At 38.8% G+C, this 21,441-nt stretch overlaps 1 long non-coding RNA gene and 1 pseudogene across 2 annotated transcripts in view; both read left to right on the top strand.

The window, feature by feature from the left end:
* The window catches only part of NCAL1 (NK cell activity associated lncRNA 1), a 282,375-nt gene that overhangs the window by 235,998 nt on the left and 24,936 nt on the right, over positions 1-21,441 (top strand). Inside the window, exons 3-5 of the long non-coding RNA NR_186253.1 lie at positions 9,508-9,577; positions 12,857-13,124; positions 16,286-16,434. This is a non-coding gene — a long non-coding RNA (NK cell activity associated lncRNA 1). The remainder of the gene's footprint in view (positions 1-9,507; positions 9,578-12,856; positions 13,125-16,285; positions 16,435-21,441) is intronic.
* ANAPC1P4 (ANAPC1 pseudogene 4) overlaps positions 9,507-21,441 on the top strand; it is a 38,267-nt pseudogene continuing 26,332 nt past the window's right edge. Inside the window, exons 1-3 of the transcript NR_160651.1 lie at positions 9,507-9,577; positions 12,857-13,124; positions 16,286-16,434. The product of NR_160651.1 is annotated as an ANAPC1 pseudogene 4 (transcript). The remainder of the gene's footprint in view (positions 9,578-12,856; positions 13,125-16,285; positions 16,435-21,441) is intronic.

Here is a 21,441-nt window from a genome sequence, read left to right on the forward strand (position 1 = left end):
CAAAAGGGGACACAGTCGGCAGCAGTTCCTAAATGCGTTGGACCATGGAGCCAAACTTGCAAAAGCAGCTCCTGGAATGCAAGCGCGTACCCAAAAGCTGGGAAACATTGGCTGGAAACCAGCCTGTGCTGGAAATGTGAGTTTGGTGAATGTCCTTAGGTCATTACTTCTGCAAATTTTGCTCAAAGAAAGGGAATCTGAACTCTCCACTTTTGTACATTAAGATAATAATAATAATAATAATTTTATCCCAAGATATGGCACCCTGGCATGATGAATATTTTGAATTAAAGGCCCTTGGAGACAAGCAGATGCTGGAAAAGGCTTTTGGTTATCTGTATAAAGATTGGACCCACCAAGGACAGCAATTGCTTTCCATCTGTTCCCTGAAATCTCGTACCTGGATGGACCTTTTCACAAGATAATGTCTGTTTCTCAGGCTCATTAAAATTCAAAAGAGAATAATTAACAGGTTAGTTTCTGTCCCCCCTCCCCCACCATCTATTCATTCTCACTAATACTCATTTGTTGCCCCTAACAAGAATTACCTACATTCCCCACCTCCTCTCTTTCCTATGAGGCCTTGCTGAAGGTCACCACTGTGCCTTTACACTCACCCCCCTTCCTTTCCCTACTGCTTACCTGCCCCACAAGCCAGTCATGGCCTCTCCTCTGAGCCCTGTGAGAATTCTTAGAGGTTTTATCCTCAGTATAATTCAAATGTGTTCCCTTCTCCAATACCCAAAAACATGGTATGGGATTATTTTTTCAGTAAGGAGACAAATAGAAAGGAGGCCATTCAGGTCTTCTATATTTTAAGACCACAATCTTGACTGAACCTATAGGTGACCCAGTGTGCATAAGCTGCTATTTCCTGTCCTCCTAGTCATCTTTGTGTAGAATCAAAGACACCCACCTCCTTGGTACCTCTCATTTGTCACTTTTCAACACTTCCTGGCAGGCAGGCAGCATAACTGGTCCTGCTGGGTGATCCAGACCACACTCTGCAACTCTTTCTTCTGAGCCAGGCTCCCCTACTGTCTTTTCATTTATGTCAAGGCAGGGGAAGACCTCAAAGGGCTCTTGCATCCCAGTCCCACTTCCCAGAGAGGCACGAGGCCCTCCAGGATGTGGGGACAGGAACTTTGGGGCAAGCCGGGGTTGTCCAGAAGATCACCAGGAGGGCTAAATAGTAGAAAGGAGAGTCTTATTGGTGATATGTTTGCAAACTGGGAAAAGATAGCCTCCAGTGTGGAGCAAAGATGCTCCCTCTTCAAAGAGGGCAAGGGCAGCTTGGATTTTGTGCCTTACAGGGTCGGTATTATATAATAGAGTCATGCATATTCAGTAGGTTTGGGGGGAAAGCTATATATATTTATGAGGGGAGCCAACTACATGGGCAATGGATAAACATACATGTAACACATCCCATGTTCACTTAGGGGCAGGATTTTAGCATTAAAATGAGGTGGAATTTGGCTCTTTACATCAAAAGGTGAGCTATCAGACACAAAGGCAGTTTGTGCACAAGCTCTCCAAAGGGACTTGAGGGCTACAGCTGCTCATCTGGAAAGAATCCTTGTAAGACCAGTCCTCTGTCCAACCAGAGTTAGGAGGCGTCTGACAATTTGCCTGATTAGCTCTACTGTTGGGAGTTTAACAAGGGTGTGGTTTTTCTTGTAACCATAGGAATTTAGGGAGTTGCCACGCCAGCCAAGCCCTAAACCCTGGGCTTATAGGTAACTTTTTCCCTAACCTTAAGATCTGTCTTAGTTGGTAAAGGGGTGTCTATTTTGGTCTCTCAGATCACACTAGAAACCTCTCAAGTCCTGTATTCTTATTATAAAGCTGATTATAAAGCTTTACAATTTACTTTGTGATTACTGTAGCTTATCGTAAAGCAACTGTAATCAGTAGGATTGGTGTCAAGATGGGTACACAGATGGGTAGAAAAGAATTGAGAATCCAGAAATAGACTCATATTTACATGGTCAATTTATTTTTGACAAAGGCACCAAAGAAATTTAGCATAGAAAGTATAATCTTCATCAAATGATGCTGGAAAAATTGAGTAACTATATGCAAAAAAGAAAGAAAAGAAAGAAAAAAGTGAAAACCTCCACCTCCGTCATTACTTCATACCATATAAAAAATTAACTCAGAATAGATCATAGACATAAATGTAATAGCTAAAACTATAAAACTCCTAAAAGAAAACAGGAGAAAATAGAGAAAACCTTGGTGATCTTGGTTTTGGCAGTGATCTGTTAAATTCAATAGATAAAACACAAATTAGAAATAAGGTATTGACTGAACCTCATAAAAATAAAACATAAACTTTTGTTCTTCAAAAGACATTTAGGAAAATGAAAAGGAAAGCCCCAGACTGAGGTAAAATATTTGCAAAACATATATATAATAAAGGTTTTGTATCCAGAATGTATAAAGAAGTTAAGAAGAAAAGCAACATACTTTTTTTTTAGTTGACAAAAGATCTGAAAAAGACATCTCACCAAGTCGTTTGTAGGACTGGCAAATAAGTAAACAAGAAGAGGCCCAACACCTTTAGTCATTAGAGAAATGAAAACTACAACCACAGTGAGATAATAACACCCACTAGAATGGATGAAATTGAAAAGTCTGACCATATCAAGTGTTTGCAAGGATGTGGAACCAACAGGAACTCCATTCACAGCTAGTGGGAATGGAAAATGGTTTGACCATGCTGAAGAGCATTTTGTTGTTTTTTTAAAAGTTAAAAATATATCTACCATATGACTCAGTCATTCCACACTTGGTTATTTACACCCCACAAAAAATGAAAGCATATATTCACACAAAGGCTTTTAAACAAGTGTTCATAATAGCTTTATTTGTAATTGCCAAAAACCGAAAATCACCCAGTTGTACCCCAGCAGGTGAATGGATAAACCAATTGTGACGTAGTCATATAATGGAATGCTAACCAATAATTTAAAAAAGGAACAATTGATACCTATAACAGCATTATTGAATCCAATAGAATGATGCTGAATAAAAGAACATGGACAAAGAAAGAGCACATACTATATGATTTTAGTTACATAAAATTCTAGGAAGTGTACTAATCTATAGTAACAGCAAGCAGATCAGTATTTGCCTATTGGGGGAAGGAGTCGGACAGCAGCAGGGGAAGGGTTAAAGTCACATTTTAGTTTTAAAATATTCAGCATGTATTTTGGGCTACAAAATAGCACAAGGAAACTCTTGGGTGTGATGGACATGTTCATTATTTAATTGTTATGATAGTTTCAGAGACATAAACATAAAAAACTTCTCAAATACACACTTCCATTATGTACAATTTATTATGTGGCCATTATACTTCAATAAAACTGTCACGGAAGAACGACCCTTATCTTCTGGAGGTACATGCTGAATGTCTTACAAATAAAATTATCTAAGAACTGAAATTGGCTTCAAGGTAAAGCAGGAATGGGGTGAGAAGTGTGTGTGACGTGGACACAAGGGTGATATAGAAGATTGGCATCAAGTGACAGAAGTAGACGGTAGATTCATTTTTATATATGTTTGAAATACTACATTACAAAATGCCAGTAGAAAATCTGAGTCTAACCCTAAGAATGCAGTACATCCTGCTGCCATGTTTCTTTCTTTAGAGCTGAGGAGAGGCCTCTTTACTTTGGTCGGAAACCTCATTAGGTTTGATTTAGTTCAATAAAAATGTGTATAGGTGAAATAGTCCATACGAATTCATTACAATTGATGTGAAACAAAATTAATTAATAATTAATCCATGCAAGTCTTTTGGTAGCCTGCATTTTATCAAAGAAGGGACCCATGGCAAAGGCTGGGAAGGGACCTTTAACAGGGGAGCATGAGTTCCACGGCAGAGTTGCCCTCAAGTAATGCTTTGTAGATTGGTACAGCACATGTGCATCAAAGTAGTGAAAGGATTATGAAATGTGAATAAGGAGTTAGAAGGTGGACCTTGAAGTCCTCCTGGGTACCCATTTCCCCAAGAGTGAGCATCATTATTCTTCATTCCCATACTTCTACAGGATCAATGTTGCAGCCACAGTAGGTGGAAAATTCCAACTCTGCTAACAGTTGGGAGCGTGTCCCTCTAATGAGAGGACCTGTTCATGCAATTTTCTTGATGTCTGGTGAACGCTCCCACATTATATCTTCAAAAGACTTTACTACCTGAGAGGGTTTCATGCTAACTGCTGAGTAAAACCACCCAGTGCTGAGCACGCAGAGAAGGGAGTGGGGATACAGGTCCACCACAGCCCAGGCTTTGGAGTCTGCCAAAGCAGTCAGACAACGGTGGTCAGAAAAGGTGTATGAGTCACTCGACTGACTACTTAAATCCAAAGGAATTTGTTTACATGGACCAATCGTTTTAGTAAGATGGTTTGTTATGTGCCTTTATAATTTAACATATTAATTTTATTTAGACAATATTGGAAAAGATAATGCAATCCGGTGATCTCAGCAAAATTCTCTCCTCTATAAAAATAATGAGAAAAGTGACAAAAATAATCAGAATCAACTTTTTAGAACTCTGGAAATTTACCAAAGTGTTGCAGCCATCCAAGGATTGTTTGCTCAAGCAAAACAACTGAATTTCACCTAGAATAGTGAGGTTTGTGACATTTTAACTTGCCCCATTCGCATCACCCTTTCTCCAGCTTCATGGCAGCCTCGAAAACCAGCAGCCCCCAGTCACAGAGAAAACCCGTCTAGTGGTTCTCTGAAAGACCCCACTTGCAAGGCTGTCTTTATTTAATCTGACTTGGAGTTTGCCCAGTGTGAAAAGCCATTTCTTCAGGGGCATTTGTTAAAAACATTTAGAGGCAATTGTTTAACTTCACAGATGCTTGAGATAGTGGATAATAGTTGCAACAAACAATAGGCTAATTAAAAAGCTTAAAGTGAAAACTGGAGAATGGATGTTCATAGGGGCTTTGAAAAGCTCTGACATATTCTGGGAAATCTGGAAGGCCATGAGCAGGAGTAAGATAGGCTTTGCACATGCACAGAGCTGTGTGCAGGCTTGGAAAAGATCTTAGAAGGTCCTAAACCCTCGTCAATGGCTCCCTTAAAGTTCTGGACAAGAAGATATTGTCAAAATCTAAGTTTAAGGTGGAATTGTCAACTGCTTGGATGAGTGTGGAAGACATTCCCCAACATGCATGTAGAGCACCTCAGCAAAAACTTGGAGATGTAAACCAAAAAGAAAAATCTAAGGTCGTCCTACCCCAACCATCTGAATGGAACCCTCCTCTCTGTCAAGGGCATTCCAAAGTTTACCTGAAAAAGAAGTTCAGGCCATGATGGGAAGGCAGAGCTGGACAAACCTGGTAATACCCTCCTCCTTTCTGGAGTTACTAACAGAACAGACTCTAAATCTGATAAGAAACATTTACAATCTAGTCTGTCTGAAGCCTGCTACCTGGAGGCTTCATTTGCATGACAAAATCTTGGTTTCCACAACCTCTTATCATAACCCAGATATTCCTTTCTATTGATAGTAACTCTTTCAACCAATTACCAATCAGAAAACCTTTGAATCCGCCTATGATATGGAAACCCCCACTTCCACTTGTCCCACCTTCCTGGACTGAACCAATATACATCTTCCATGTATTGATTGATGCCTTATGTCTCCCTAAAATATGTCACACCAAGTTGTTACCCAACCACTTTGGGCCCATGTTCTCAGGATCTCCTAAATGCTGTGTCATGGGCCATTGGCCACTCATATTTGGCTCAGAATAAATCTCTTCAAATATTTTACATAGTATAACTCTTTTTCATTGACAGAGACTTACTAGTTCCTGATCCTTAAAGAAATTTCTCTCCAATCATTAGATGACCATTAAACTAACAAAGCAGAGACGTCAGTGGCTACACAAGACAAAGAATACAGACTTATAACACAATTACATCAGAAAAGTTACTAAAAAACAAAAACACCAACAAACTGTAAAAACAACATAACCTGAGGAGTAGAGAAAGAATCTGATTTTTTAAAGTTGCCACATTGCATTTTTAATGTCCAGTTTTAACAGAAAATTACAAGACATGTAAGGAAACAAGAAAATATGTCTCATACACAGGACAAAATCGATTAATAGAAACTGTTCCAGAGGAAGCCCAGACATAAAACTTATTAGAAAAAGTCTTTAAATTTAGTTCAAAGGGTTAAAGAAAACCATATCTAAATAACTAAAGGAAAGGATGAAAATGGTGTTTATCTAACACAGAATATCAGTAAAGAGATAGAAATGATAAAAAAAAAAAAGAATCAAATAGGAATGCTAGAGTTAAAAAGATAACTAAAAGGAAAATTTTAAGAGGAGCTCAACAGCAGATTTGATCAGGTGGAAGATATAATCAGCAATCTTGAACATTGTTCATTTGAGATTTTCCAGACTGAGAAACAGAAAGAAAAAAAAATTATGAAGAAAAATGAACAGAACCTCAGAAACCTGTAGATCTCTATGCTTGTTTTTCTCAGGTTTGTCAAAGATCAGATAGTTGTAGGTAAGCGGCGTTATTTCTGAGGGCTCTGTTCTGTTCCATTGATCTATATCTCTGTTTTGGTACCAGTACCATGCTGTTTTGGTTACTGTAGCCTTGTAGTGTAGTTTGAAGTCAGATAGTGTGATGCCTCCAGCTTTGTTCTTTTGGCTTAGGATTGACTTGGCGATGCAGGCTCTTTTTTGGTTCCATATGAACTTTAAAGTAGTTTTTTCCAATTCTGTGAAGAAAGTCATTGGTAGCTTGACGGGGATGGCATTGAATCTGTAAATTACCTTAGGCAGTATGGCCATTTTCACGATATTGATTCTTCCAACCCATGAGCATGGAATGTTCTTCCATTTGTTTGTATCCTCTTTTATTTCCTTGAGCAGTGGTTTGTAGTTCTCCTTGAAGAGGTCCTTCACATCCCTTGTAAGTTGGATTCCTAGGTATTTTATTCTCTTTGAAGCAATTGTGAATGGGAGTTCACTCATGATTTGGCTCTCTGTTTGTCTGCTCTTGGTGTATAGGAATGCTTGTGATTTTTGTACATTGATTTTGTATCCTGAGACTTTGCTGAAGTTGCTTATCAGCTTAAGGAGATTTTGGGCTGAGACGATGGGGTTTTCTAGATAAACAATCATGTCGTCTGCAAACAGGGACAATTTGACTTCCTCTTTTCCTAATTGAATACCCTTTATTTCCTTCTCCTGCCTGATTGCCCTGGCCAGAACTTCCAACACTATGTTGAATAGGAGCGGTGAGAGAGGGCATCCCTGTCTTGTGCAAGTTTTCAAAGGGAATGCTTCCAGTTTTTGCCCATTCAGTATGATATTGGCTGTGGGTTTGTCATAGATAGCTCTTATTATTTTGAAATACGTCCCATCAATACCTAATTTATTGAGAGTTTTTAGCATGAAGGGTTGTTGAATTTTGTCAAAGGCTTTTTCTGCATCTATTGAGATAATCATGTGGTTTTTGTCTTTGGCTCTGTTTATATGCTGGGAGAACAGAACAGAGCCCTCAGAAATAACGCCGCTTACCTACAACTATCTGATCTTTGACAAACCTGAGAAAAACAAGCAATGGGGAAAGGATTCCCTATTTAATAAATGGTGCTGGGAAAACTGGCTAGCCATATGTAGAAAGCTGAAACTGGATCCCTTCCTTACACTTTATACAAAAATCAATTCAAGATGGATTAAAGATTTAAACGTTAGACCTAAAACCATAAAAACCCTAGAAGAAAACCTAGGCATTACCATTCAGGACATAGGCGTGGGCAAGGACTTCATGTCCAAAACACCAAAAGCAATGGCAACAAAAGCCAAAATTGACAAATGGGATCTAATTAAACTAAAGAGCTTCTGCACAGCAAAAGAAACTACCATCAGAGTGAACAGGCAACCTACAACATGGGAGAAAATTTTCGCAACCTACTCATCTGACAAAGGGCTAATATCCAGAATCAACAATGAACTCAAACAAATTTACAAGAAAAAAACAAACAACCCCATCAAAAAGTGGGCGAAGGACATGAACAGACACTTCTCAAAAGAAGACACTTATGCAGCCAAAAAACACATGAAAAAATGCTCATCACTGGCCATCAGAGAAATGCAAATCAAAACCACTATGAGATATCATCTCACACCAGTTAGAATGGCAATCATTAAAAAGTCAGGAAACAACAGGTGCTGGAGAGGATGTGGAGAAATAGGAACACTTTTACACTGTTGGTGGGACTGTAAACTAGTTCAACCATTGTGGAAGTCAGTGTGGCGATTCCTCAGGGATCTAGAACTAGAAATACCATTTGACCCAGCCATCCCATTACTGGGTATATACCCAAATGACTATAAATCATGCTGCTATAAAGACACATGCACACGTATGTTTATTGCGGCATTATTCACAATAGCAAAGACTTGGAACCAACCCAAATGTCCAACAATGATAGACTGGATTAAGAAAATGTGGCACATATACACCATGGAATACTATGCAGCCATAAAAAATGATGAGTTCATGTCCTTTGTAGGGACATGGATGAAATTGGAAACCATCATTCTCAGTAAACTATCGCAAGGACAAAAAACCAAACACCGCATATTCTCACTCATAGGTGGGAATTGAACAATGAGATCGCATGGACACAGGAAGGGGAATATCACACTCTGGGGACTGTGGTGGGGAGGGGGGAGGGGGGAGGGATAGCATTGGGAGATATACCTAATGCTAGATGACGAGTTAGTGGGTGCAGCGCACCAGCATGGCACATGTATGCATATGTAACTAACCTGCACAATGTGCACATGTACCCTAAAACTTAAAGTATAATTAAAAAAAAAAAATTTTTCAAAAAAAAAAAAATTTTGTCTCTAAAACAGGTAACAATTTGAATGAAGAAAACAAAAATTTAATGAATGGCATAAAAATAAATTTCAAGAAAATGAAAGGTGTGTATGATGACTTAATTAAAAGAATGTAAAGGAAAAAAAAAAAAAAAGATTTTCCAGAGTAGCTACTTGTCTCTGCCATAGAATTGTTAGATAGTTTACTGTAGGTGGACTGTAAATAAATGTTTGCTTAGTTCTAACATTTGACTGATATTGGGTTGATCCTTTGAGACTTGGTATATTGTGGATATGCCTAAAGTTTCTTTTTCTACCAAAGATGTGTTGTAATCTATGTCATTACAGAAGTAGGAGAGGGAAGGAAACTACCATTAAAATCAGTACTTAGGAGCCCAGGCACTGTTCTAGATGTTTGCATATATTAATATGATTTCATTTCATCTTTACAGTAACCTAGAAGAAAGATATTTAAATAATGACTTTCCAGATCAAAAAATGAGTTTTGATGGCTTTTCTCAGTTTTCATAATTGGCAGAACTGATTTCTGAATCCTTTAAGTTGATCAGTTGACAGGAATGCATTTATGATTTTTATCTTTTCTTTTGGGGTTACTTTTCAGTTTGACTTTGAAGGATCACTTTCCCCTGTCATTGCGCCCAAAAAAGCCTTCCGAGACTGGATCTGATGATGTAAGCATTATTATTTCTTGCTAATATAAATTAATTTATGGATATTCATACTATTCTTCCACTTCTGTGGTATTCCTATCAATTCCTCTATCTTTCCAACACCTTTCACTTTATTTATTTTAATACTGAATAGCAATTATTTTGAAGAGTAGGATCTGTTACATTTTCTATGGTCTTTAATGATTATCCAAAAATTAATGTATGTATTACTGCATGATTTCAGTTTGGGTTTGTAGACATTTTATTATCAACTGATCACCTGAAATGACAGCATTTACCTTTTTTATGCAGTGTTTTTTAAATTAAGGTTCTCAATCGTATCAGGTTCCATGGTATATTCCTTTTTTTTTTTTTTTTTTTTTTTGAGACGGAGTATCGCTCTTGTTGCCCGGGATGGAGTGCAGTGGCACGATCTGAGCTCACTGCAATCTCCGCCTCCCAGGTTCAAGCAGTTCTGTCTCAGCCTCCTGAATAGCTGGGATTACAGGCGCCCGCCACCATGCCTGGCTAATTTTTGTAGTTTTGGTAGAGACAGGGTTTCACCATGTTGGCCAGGCTGGTCTCGAACTCCTGACCTCAAGTGACCTTCCTGACCTTGGCGTCCCAAAGTGCTGGGATTACAGGCATGAGCCACTGCACCTGGCCTCCATGGTATTATTCTTAAGTGGTCCAAATATGTTTTTTTAAATTGTGGTGTAATTTACAAAAATGAAATACATCTTGAGTTTACAGTTTGATCAGTTTTAATATATGCACACTCATGTAACCTACACTCCTATAAAGACACAGAATATTTTTATAACTCCGTAAAATTTCCCCGTGCGGTTTTTTTTTTTTTTTTTTGAGACGGAGTCTTGCCTTATTGCCCAGGCTGGAGTGCAGTGGCACGATGTCGGCTCTTCACCTCCTGGGTTGAAGCTATTCTCCTGCCTCAACCTCCTGAATAGCTGGGATTATAGGCATGCGCCACCACGCCTGGCCAATTTTTGTATTTTTAGTAGAGATAGGGTTTCACCATGTTGGTCAGGCTGGTCTTGAACTCCTGACCTCGTGATCTGCCCACCTCGGCCTCCCAAAGTTCTGGGATTACAGGCATGAGCCACTGGGCCTGGCCCCTCTTGCTGTTTTTAATCAGCTTTATTCTCTTCTTCTAGCAATCACTGATCTGAATTCTGTCACCATATCTTAGTTATGCCTGTTCTAGAACTTGATGTAAATAAAATAATATAGTATGTAATCTTTGGTATAAGATTTATTCAGCATAATGCTTTTGAGATTCATTCATGTTGTTACAGATACCCGTAGTTTGTGCTTTTTTATTGCTGAGTAGTATGAATATACCATAGTTTGTTTATCCATCCTTCTTCTGCTGGTAGATATCTAGGCTATTTCCATTTTTTTTTTAAGTCTTATGAATAAAGCAAGCTACTGCCAAAATTCACTGGCAAGTCTTTGTGGATATATATTTTCTTTTTTTGGGGGGGGGGAGGACAGAGTCTTGCTGTGTCATCCAGGCTGGAATGCAGTGGCACGATCTCGGCTCACTGCAACCTCTGACTCCTGAGTTCAGGCAGTTCTCATGCCTCAGCCTCCCCAGTAGCTAGAATTACAGGTATGCGCCACCATGCCTGGCTAATTTTTGTATTTTCAGTAGAGACTGGATTTTGCCATGTTGGCCAGCCTGGTCTCAAACTCCTGGCCTCAATAATCCACCCATGTTGGCCTCCCAAAGTGCTGAGATTACAGGTGTGAGCCACCATGCCTGGCCCGTGGACATACATTTTCATTTCTTTTTTTTTTTTTTTTTTTTAAGAGACAGGGTGTCACTCTTTTGCCTACGCTGGACTGCAGTGATGCTATCGTGGTTGACTGTAATCTCGAACTCCTAGGCTCAAGCCATCCTCCTACCTCAGCCTCCAAGTGGCTAGGACTACCGGTATGCTCCATCATGCCTGGCTAATTTTTAAGTAAGACCAGTTGTCTACCAAAAAAATTTGAAAATTAGCCAGGCATGATGGCACATAACCTGTAGTCCTAGCTACTTGGAGGCTGAGTTTGGAGGATGTTAAACACTCTTTCATGTGCTCATTAGCTGCTTATGTATCTTTTTGTGAAGTTTCTGTTCAAATCTTTATCAACTTGTAAATTAGATTTTAAAAAATATGTAAGCTGGTGAAGTTCTTACATGTTCTAGACATGAATTCTTGACCATATTTTCCCTTAGAATGTGGCTTTAACAGTGTCTTTGATGAGCAGAATTTTTTATTTTAGTTATCCAATATATCAGTTTTTTATTTTATTTTATTTTATTTTTGAGATGGAGTCTCGCTCTGTTGCCCAGGCTGGAGTGCAGTGGCATGATCTCAGCTCACTGCAAGCTCCGCCTCCCAGGTTCATGCCATTCTCCTGCCTAAGCCTCCCCAATAGCTGGGACTAACAGGTGCCCGCCACCACACCCAGCTAATTTTTTTGTATTTTTTTTAGAAGAGATGGGGTTCCACCGTGTTAGCCAGGATGGTCTCGATCTCCTGACCTCGTGATCCACCCGCCTCGGCATCCCAAAGTGCTGGGATTACAGGCATGAGCCACTGCACCCGGCCCAGTTTTTTCTTTTATGGTTAGTTCTTTCTGTATCTAGTCCAAGAATTTTTAATTTAGAATAACACACTGTATTAAGCCTTATAAAAACACCAGTAAATTCCAAGACCTGGAAATAGCATAAACCACATTCTCTGAACCAAATGCAGTAAATCACAAGTAGAACCAAAATAGACTGAACATTTGGAAAATGTAGTCCAATCAGTCTGAATATAAAAATCAGTTGATTATTAGATTATATTAGTAGCCCTGGCATCTTATACATGTGGAAAGATGAATACACCAGATGAATGCAGGTGGACCTTCCTTCTTACCAAAACACAGTTCAGTGTAGTGGCCACTAACTTGCCATCTACTTTTCCTATAAAACCTAGCCTGAGATAATCTTAAATTTTCTCTCTCAATCTCTACCTAAATTGTATAATTCTTCTCCCAATGTCTTTCCTAAAAGGGCATGAAAAGATTTTTTTTAATGGTTTTTAAAGGTGGCTTGCCTTAACGTTTATAACTGGCTTGCTATTTTATAGTTACTTCATTCTTAGCATTGTCTTTTTTTTAACATACTCTTAGATCAACTTAATGTGAAAATGAAACTTGAATTGTTTTAAGTGAATTAATTTTCTTATGATATTATAAGGAGGTATTATTTTTAAAAATTAATATTCTTTTTATTCTTCTCAGGACTGGGAATATTTACTAAATTCAGACTACCACCAGAGTGTTGAGTCTCATCTTTTGAACAGATCTTTATGTCTGAGTCCTTCAGAAGCTTCACAGATGAAGGATGAGGATTTTTCACAGAATCTCAGTCTGGATTCTTCTACACTTCTCTTTACTCACATACCTGCAATTTTTTTCGTTCTTCGCCTTGTGTATGAGGAGCTTAAGTTGAATACTCTAATGGGAGAAGGAATTTGTTCACTCTTGAACTTCTCGTTCAGTTGGCAAGGTAAATTTGTTTGTAGGTTAGAAACTGCCAGGAAGTCCTGAGATGACTGTCTTTTCCATGATATCATATAGGGACCTTGTAAATACGTTTCTGAAATCTGCCTTCTCTGAAAACTATGGCATCTCTGTAAACCACAGAGTTGTTTGAAGATACTGGTTTTGTAAGGGCCTGTGAGCCATGCAGGGATTTTTAGTCTTTGTCCTGAGATTAGTGGAAGGTCACGAAAAAATGGAGATGACCTGCTCAGATTTTCATTTTGACAGGATGACTGACTGACTATACTGTGGTGGGAGTTCTAGAATAACATCTGCTGTTTTGTAATATCCACATTCAAATAGTGCTTTATAGTTGACAAAATCATAGTTTACATATAAAGTCTCAAACAAGGTAAGTTTCCTATTTTAGTGATGAGGAAACTTGCCTAAATTTGTTTCCTGGGATATGAGTGTTTGATAGTTGTGGACTCATTTTGCTATGCTATCCTTGTTGCAGTCTGAGGTTGTCCCTGTCTTTGAGGCACTCATAGTAGATCCACAATAAGATAGTTCTAATAATACGTTTCAACACCTTTCAAGAGCTTTGAAGCACCTTGTGTATGGCTCAGAATTCTAGGGTCATACTTGTGTGTTGTTTGACCTTTATGACCTTTGGTGATAAAGAAGTTGAATTTGAATTGAAATGTCAGCCTCTGAGTTAAGACATAGTACATTTTCTAATTTCTGTTGTCTTTTTTGAGATCTTGAAATTCAATCCTGAGACATGGCAGTTTTAATCAATGGTAAATATCTCTTAGGATGTCATTACTATCATCAAAATTATTTTGTAATTAAATAATTTCCAAACCATAATCATGGCTGTCTGAAATAAGTAATGTGTATGATGTTTTACATTTTATCAGGTTTTTTTTTTTTTTACATATTTTATCTTATTTACTCTTTAAAACTTCAGAGTAAGTGAGCTGATATTGCCCCATTTCCTAGAAGAAAATACTGAGGTTTATAGACATGACTTATGGAAGATCACACAGCTAATGAATAGCAGAGGAGGAACTAGATCATGGTGCTTTTACTGTAGTTTTACTTCCACAAAATTTAGCAAAAAGAGGTTGGGTTCCATTTGTCACACTGGGCACTTTAAAGTCCAAAAATACAATAGAGAGACTCTAGATTTGGTTATCTTTCTCATAAGTAAGTTTTTAAATTTAAAGATTCAACTAATTAATCCTTCCAATTCTGTTGGGAGAAAGTGCTGTAATACCTTCTTTTTTGCATGCCTTACTTACTTAAAATTGGGGCCTTATGTAGATCATTACTATAGAGACTACCCAACGCTTGTCAGAACTACTGGACAAGTGTGCACAATTGATCCAGGTAAGTAGTCGTGCTTTTAAATATTTTCTAAACAGTGTAGTGATATTTCCTTGTATTTTTCTCAATGAATAGCAGAGGATGTATTTCTTACCATTAGCTTCTAAGTCAGGGGCAATGCCTTTCCACCAGGCAGATTTTAGTTCGTAGTGCTTGTTTTCTGACACGTAGTAAGCCATAATATCTTCAGTGTATAGGGAAAATTTTACCCATCCCTAAGGTTCTGACTTGCAAAAGTCAGAGAAAGAGCTTCCAGTGTCAAGGATGCTTTTTTTTTTTTTTTTTTTTGAGACGGAGTCTTGCTCTGTCACCCAGGCTGGGGTGCAGTGGCGCGATCTCGGCTCACTGCAAACTCTGCCTCCTGGGTTCACGCCATTCTCCTGCCTCAGCCTCCTGAGTAGCTGGGACTACAGGTGCCCGCCACCATGCCTGGCTAATTTTTCTGTATTTTTATTAGAGACGAGGTTTAATCGTGTTACATAGGATGGTCTTGATCTCCTGACCTCATGATCCACCCACCTCGGCCTCCCAAAGTGCTGGGATTACGGCGTGAGCCACTGCGCCAGGCCGCCAAGGATGCTTTTAACTTAGACTTGTAGAGTACAGTTAGTACCACTAACCATATGCTACTTAAATTCAATTAAAATAAAACATATATTTCCTCAGTGTACTAGCCGCATTTTGAGAACTCAGTAGCCACATGGGGCTAGTGCTACCATATTGGACAGTGCAGATACAGACACAGAACATTTCCATCACTACTGTACTGTCCTAGACCCTGAGCTAAAGGTACTGAAATTTGGGACCCAGTTGTTGGAACAGAGCTGAATCCTGGATGTTTCTTTTGTTTTTTTCACCTTTAGGGTTAGGGCAAAATTTTTGGTTAGATTCTTCTTCTTCTTCTTTTTTTTTTTTTTTTTTTTTGAGACAGGGTCTCACTCTGTCACCCAGATGGGAGTGCAGTGGTACGATCTTGGCTCACTGCATCCTCTGCCTTCCAGGCTCAAGCGATTCTCCTGCCTCAGCCTCCCAAGTGCCTGGGATTGCCTGGGCTTATAGGTGTGTGCCACCACGCCTGGCTAATTTTTGTATTTTTAGTAGTGATGGGGTTTCACCATGTTGGCCAGGCTGGCCTTGAACTCCTGACCTCAAGTGATCCACCTGACTCAGCCTCCCAAGGGGCTGGGATTACAGGTGTTAGCCACCACATCCAGCCTTTGGTTAGATTCTTTATATGCCTTGGGAACAAGAATTTGCTAAATTTCCATCCAGGGTGGGATAAAATAGAAGTCATTTAAATTCTACATTTAATAACATAGTTCCTTATGTACTGTGGCAGAAAACATGAAGCATTTTGGAGAATATGGAAAAACGTTATTCCTTTTTTTTTTTTTTTTTTTTGAGACACAGTCTCGCTCTGTCTCTTAGGCATGATCTTGGCTCACTGCAACCTCCACCTCCTGGGTTCAAGTGATTCTTCTGCCTCAGTCTCCCAAGTAGGTGGGACTACGGGTGCGCACCACCAGGCCCAGCTAATTTTTTTTCGTATTTTTAGTAGAGACGGGGTTTCACCATATTGGCCAGGCTGTTCTTTAACTCCTGACCTCATGATCCACCTGCTTGGGCCTCCCAAAGTACTGGGGTTACAGGCGTGAGCCACTGCACCCGGCTGGAAAAATATTATTCTAGTTGTTTCAAAATGACAAGTAACTGTTGATCATCTTCCGTTTAAAATAAAATAATGTTGTCTTAATGTATTTTCGTGTCTTTTTGAATATTTATCTAATTTTAAAGGTCAAACAGGATTTATGCATCATCCATCATTTTTTACGTCTGAGCCACCAAGTATTTATCAGTGGGTGAGTTCTTGTCTGAAGGGCGAAGGAATGCCGCCTTATCCTTACCTCCCTGGAATCTGTGAAAGAAGCAGACTTGTAGTCTTGGTATGTATGTGGAGTGTTACTACCTATCTCCTTTTTCTTTTAAAATTTAGTTTTAAAAAGTACACCTAATATTAAGTTTTTCTTCTGTGTATAGTTCTGTGAATTTCAGTACGTGTATAGATTCATGTAATTACTACAATGAGGATATAGAACATTTACATCACCCTCAAAAATTTCTCTCATGATTTTGAGACTCATCCAAGTTGTTTCCTGTATCGACAGTTCATTGCATTCTATGGCTAATTAGTAGTTTATTGCATGAATGTGTCATAGTTGGTTTTTCATTCAAGATAATTGGGTTGATTTCAGTTGTTAGCAATTGTAAATATAGATGCTGTCAGCATTCATGCTTAGCGTTTTATGTGAACATAAGTTTTGCTTTCTCTAGGACAGGTACCTAGGAGTAGGATTGATGGGTCATACAGTTAAGTTTATATTTTGTTTTTAAAGAAACTGTCATCTGTTTTCCAGAGTGGCTCTTCCATTTTACATTTTTACCAGCAATATTTAAGAGATCATTTACCTGCATTCTTGTTGGTATTTGGTATTGTCACTCTTTTTTATTTTTGTCTTTCTGAGAGATGTGTAGTTATACCTCATTGTGGTTTTAATTTGCATTTTCCTAATGGCTAATGATGTTTTCAGCGTTCTAGGTATGAGGTTTTGTCAGATATGTGGTTTGCAGATATTTTCTTCTGGTTTCTACCTTGTCTTGTCTCGTCATTCTCTTAATACATCAAAGAGCAAAAGTGTTTAATTTTGATGAAGCTAGTTTATCTGTATTTTTCTTTAATGGATGTTGCTTTTAGTGTCATGTCTAATAATTCTTTGTTTAACTTCAGGTTTTGAAGATTTTCTCCTGGGTTTCTTTGCATGTTTTACATTTAGATCTCTAATCCATTTTGTTAATCTTTTATAACATGTCAGGTTTTAAGTCAAGGTTTTTATTATTTCATTTGGATATCCAGTTCTTTCAGCACTGTTTTTTGAAAAGACTATCCTTCCTCTATTGCATTTGCACTTTTGTCAAAAGTTAATTTGGCCACATTCTTGTGTGTCTGTTTCTGGACTTTCTATTCTGGTTCATTGATCTTTGTGGCTGTCTACGCTGTCATTACTGTAGCTTTATAGTAAGTCTTTAAAATTGATTAGCGTTACTCCTCCCTTCATTACTCTTCTTGCCTTTTCATATTGATTTTATTTTTATTTTTATTTTTGAGACAGAGTCTCACTCTGTTGCCTAGGCTAGAGTGCAGTGGAGTGATCTCAGCTCACTGCAACCTCCACCTTCTGGGTTCAGGCGATTCTCCTGCCTCAGCCTCCCAAATAGCTGGGATTACAGGATCCCACCACCACGCCCGGCTAATTTTTTGTATTTTTAGTAGAGACGGGATTTCACCATATTGGCCAGGCTGGTCTTGAACTTTCAACCTCAAGTGATCCGCCTGGCTCAGCCTCCCAAAGTGCTGGGATTACCGGTGTGAGCCACCGCGCCCGTCCCCTACTGATTTTATAATCCGCTTGTCTATAGCTACAAAGAAAAATCCTGCTGAAATTTTTTTCAAAGAAACACTTCTTTATTTATTTTTATTATTTTTTATTTACCTCTAGCTGCAAATCTCATGATTTATTTATTTTTAGAAATTAGTTTGTTATTACTGGTTAATACATGTCCAAGATCAAACCTTCATATAGAACCATAGGGCTGTAACGGTGAATGAGGTAAGTTTCTTGGCATACCTGTTCCTCAGTCCCCCCATCCTGGAGCAGCCTGCTCATAGGCCCCTTGTGGGCCTTTTCAGGTGGGGTCTTCCCAGGCTTGCAGGAGAACCATATGCTTTTGTCCCTTCTCTCAAATGTTGGCAGACTGCAAATGTCTTTGCCCCCTGCCCTTCTTTTTCTTTACTCTACGTTTTGCTCTGCTTCATGGTGAGAAGTGCTTCAGAGTCCCCCCATGGCTCCAAAACAGACATACAGAATGATGATTCTGTTTAAAAAACACAGATTTTTTTAATGATAGCAAAATATATATAACATAATATTTGTCATTGAAATTGTTATTATTATTATTTCTTGAGATGGAGTCACTCTGTTGCCCAGGCTGGAGTGCAGTGGCACGATCTCGGCTCACTGCAACCTCCGCCACCTAGGTTCAAGCGATTCTCCTGCCTCAGCCTCCCGAGTAGCTGGGATTACAGGCATGAGTCACCAAGTCTGGCTAATTTTTGTATTTTTAGTAGAGATGGGGTTCACCATGTTGGCCAGGCTGGTCTTGAACTCCTGACATCAAGTGATCTGCCCACCTTGGCCTCCCAAAGTGCAGGGGTTACAGGCGTGAGCCACTGCGCCCGGCCTGAAGTTATTTTTGAGTGTACAATCCAGTGGCATTGAATACGTTCACATTGTTATGTTGCCATCACCACTGTCCGTACCCAAGACTTTTTCATCATCCCCAACATAAACTCTGTACCTATTAGAGTGACTCCCCATTCCCCTTCCTTCCAGGCCCTGGTAATTCCGTTCTCTTTCTTATGAATTTGTCTCTTGTAAGTACCTCATATTATGGGAATCAAGCAATATTTATCTCTGTGTCTGGCTTATTTCACTTAGCATAATGTTTCCAATGTTCACCCATATTGTAACATGTATCAAAATTACATTGTTTTAAAGGCAGTATTCTATATAGTATTCCATTGTATGGATATACCACAATTTATCATTTCACCTGATGATGGGCATTTGGGTTGTTTCCACCTTTTGACTGTGGAATAGTGCTGCTGTGAACCATGGGTATGCAAATATCTGTTCAAGTCTCTGCTTTCAGTTCTTTTTAATATATACCTGGTGGTGGAATTGTTGGGTCATATGGTAGGTAATTCGATGTTTAACTTTTTGAGAAACTGCTAAACTCATTTTCATAGTGGCTATACCATTTTACATCCTTATCAGCAATGCAAGAGGAAGGGTTCCAATTTCTCCACAGTCTTGCCAACACATATTATTATTTTCTATTTGTTTTTTTAAAAATTATAGCCATCCTAGTATTTATGAAGTGATATCTCATTGTTTTGATTTGCCTCCTTAATGATTAGTGATATTGAGCATATTTTCATGTGTTTATTGGCCATTTACGTATCTTCTTTGAAGAAATATCTATGCAGATCTTTTGTGTATTTGAAAATTGGATTTTTATTTTTGAGTTTAGGCATTTTTATGCTCTAGATATTAATGTGTCAGATACATGATTTGCAAATATTTTCTCCCATTCTATAGGTTTTTCTGTGAATGTCTTTTCAGTAAAACTGGCATGAGTGCTCAGTTTACCTCTCTGGCCTTTCATCTTAGTTTTATCCTCTTGGTATTCCTTTATAACTTGTCAGCTCAGAGATCTATTTATAAAAATATGAATTTATTTTTATTTATAAAAATATTCTGAAAAATATCAACAGAAGCCCTTATTGATAGGTTTTTGGTTTCGTCATTATAAGTTTTATTGGACTTTTTTTACTTTTATTTTTTTTATTTGAGACAAGGTCTTACTCTGTCACCCAGGCTGGTGTGCAGTGGTGCAATCATGGCTCACTGCAGCCTCAACCTCCCGGGGCTCAAGCAGTCCTTCCACCTCAGCCTCCTGAGTAGCTGGGACCACAGGTGCACACCATCACACCCGGCTAATTTTTGTATTTTTAGTAGAGATGGGGTTTTGCCATGTTGCCCAGGTTGGTCTTGAACTCCTGACCGCAAGTGATAAATTTTTTTTATGTGATGTTAGCTAATGAGACATTTGTAGTAACCTTCTAGCTTATGGTGGCTCTTTTTCTATTGACTCACTTGTATATGCGGAGATGGCATTGTCTGTGTACCATTTGTTGAAATGAGGGAAAGGAAGGAAGTGAGATAACATTTATTGGGAGCCTGTTGTCTTCAAGGAACTTCATGTATGTTTTCTCATTTAATACAGAGATCTTATGTACTTTTGTGTTTGTGTTATATGTTGAATATTTTAACTCTTTTGAGAGACTTTTTCCTTGGTCTTATCTTTTTCTTTTCCTCCTCAAAGCAAATACCACTACAGCTCTGTACTACTAGATACTTCTTAGATAGTGAGAGAGCACTATTCGATACCTGTTGGAATGACTGAAAATAACTTTTGGTGAGGATGTGGAGCAACCGAAACTCTCATACATTACTGGTGGGACTGCAAAAGTGGCACAGCACTTTGGAAAACTGTTTGGCAGTTTCTTGTGAAGTTAAACATACACTTATATAAGACAAATTCCAACTCCTTGGTATTTACTTAAGAGAAATGAAAACATATGCCTACATAAAGACCCGCATGTATGTGAATGTCTTTGGGGCCAGGCGCGGTGGCATAATCTCAGCACTTTGGGAGGCCGAGGAGGGCGGATCACGAGGTCAGGAGATCGAGACCAACCTGGCCAACATGGTGAAACCCTGTCTCTACTAAAAATACAAAAATTAGCTGGGCGTGGTGGCGCATGCCTGTAATCCCAGCCACTCTGGAGGCTGAGGTGGGAGAATCGCTTGAACCCAGGAGGTGGAGGTTGCAGTGAGCCAAGATTGTGCCACTGCACTCCAGCCTGGCAACATAGCGAGACTCCGTCTCAAAAAAAATAAACAAATAAAAAATAAAGCAGCTTTGGTCATAGTGACCACAAACTGGAACCAAATGTTCATCAGTTTTTGAGTAGGTAAACAAAGTTTGGTATGTCTGTATAATGGAATACTACTCAGCATGAAAAGGAAGAAACTAGTGATCCTTGGAGAGATGTGAATGAATCTCAAAGACTTATGCTAAGTTAAAGAAGTAGCACAAAAAAGACTACGTATCATATGATTCATTTACATGATATTGTAGGATAGACAAAACTGTAGAGCAAGAAAACAGATGAATTGTTTCCAGTGCTGGGTGTAGGAGGAAAGGATTGACTACAAAAGGAACGAGGGAGCTTTTTGGTATGATGAAAGTATACTATATTGTGAGTG

Source organism: Homo sapiens, chromosome 2 (assembly GCF_000001405.40).
Source record: "Homo sapiens chromosome 2, GRCh38.p14 Primary Assembly".
In the NCBI taxonomy this organism is placed as follows: domain Eukaryota; kingdom Metazoa; phylum Chordata; class Mammalia; order Primates; family Hominidae; genus Homo; species Homo sapiens.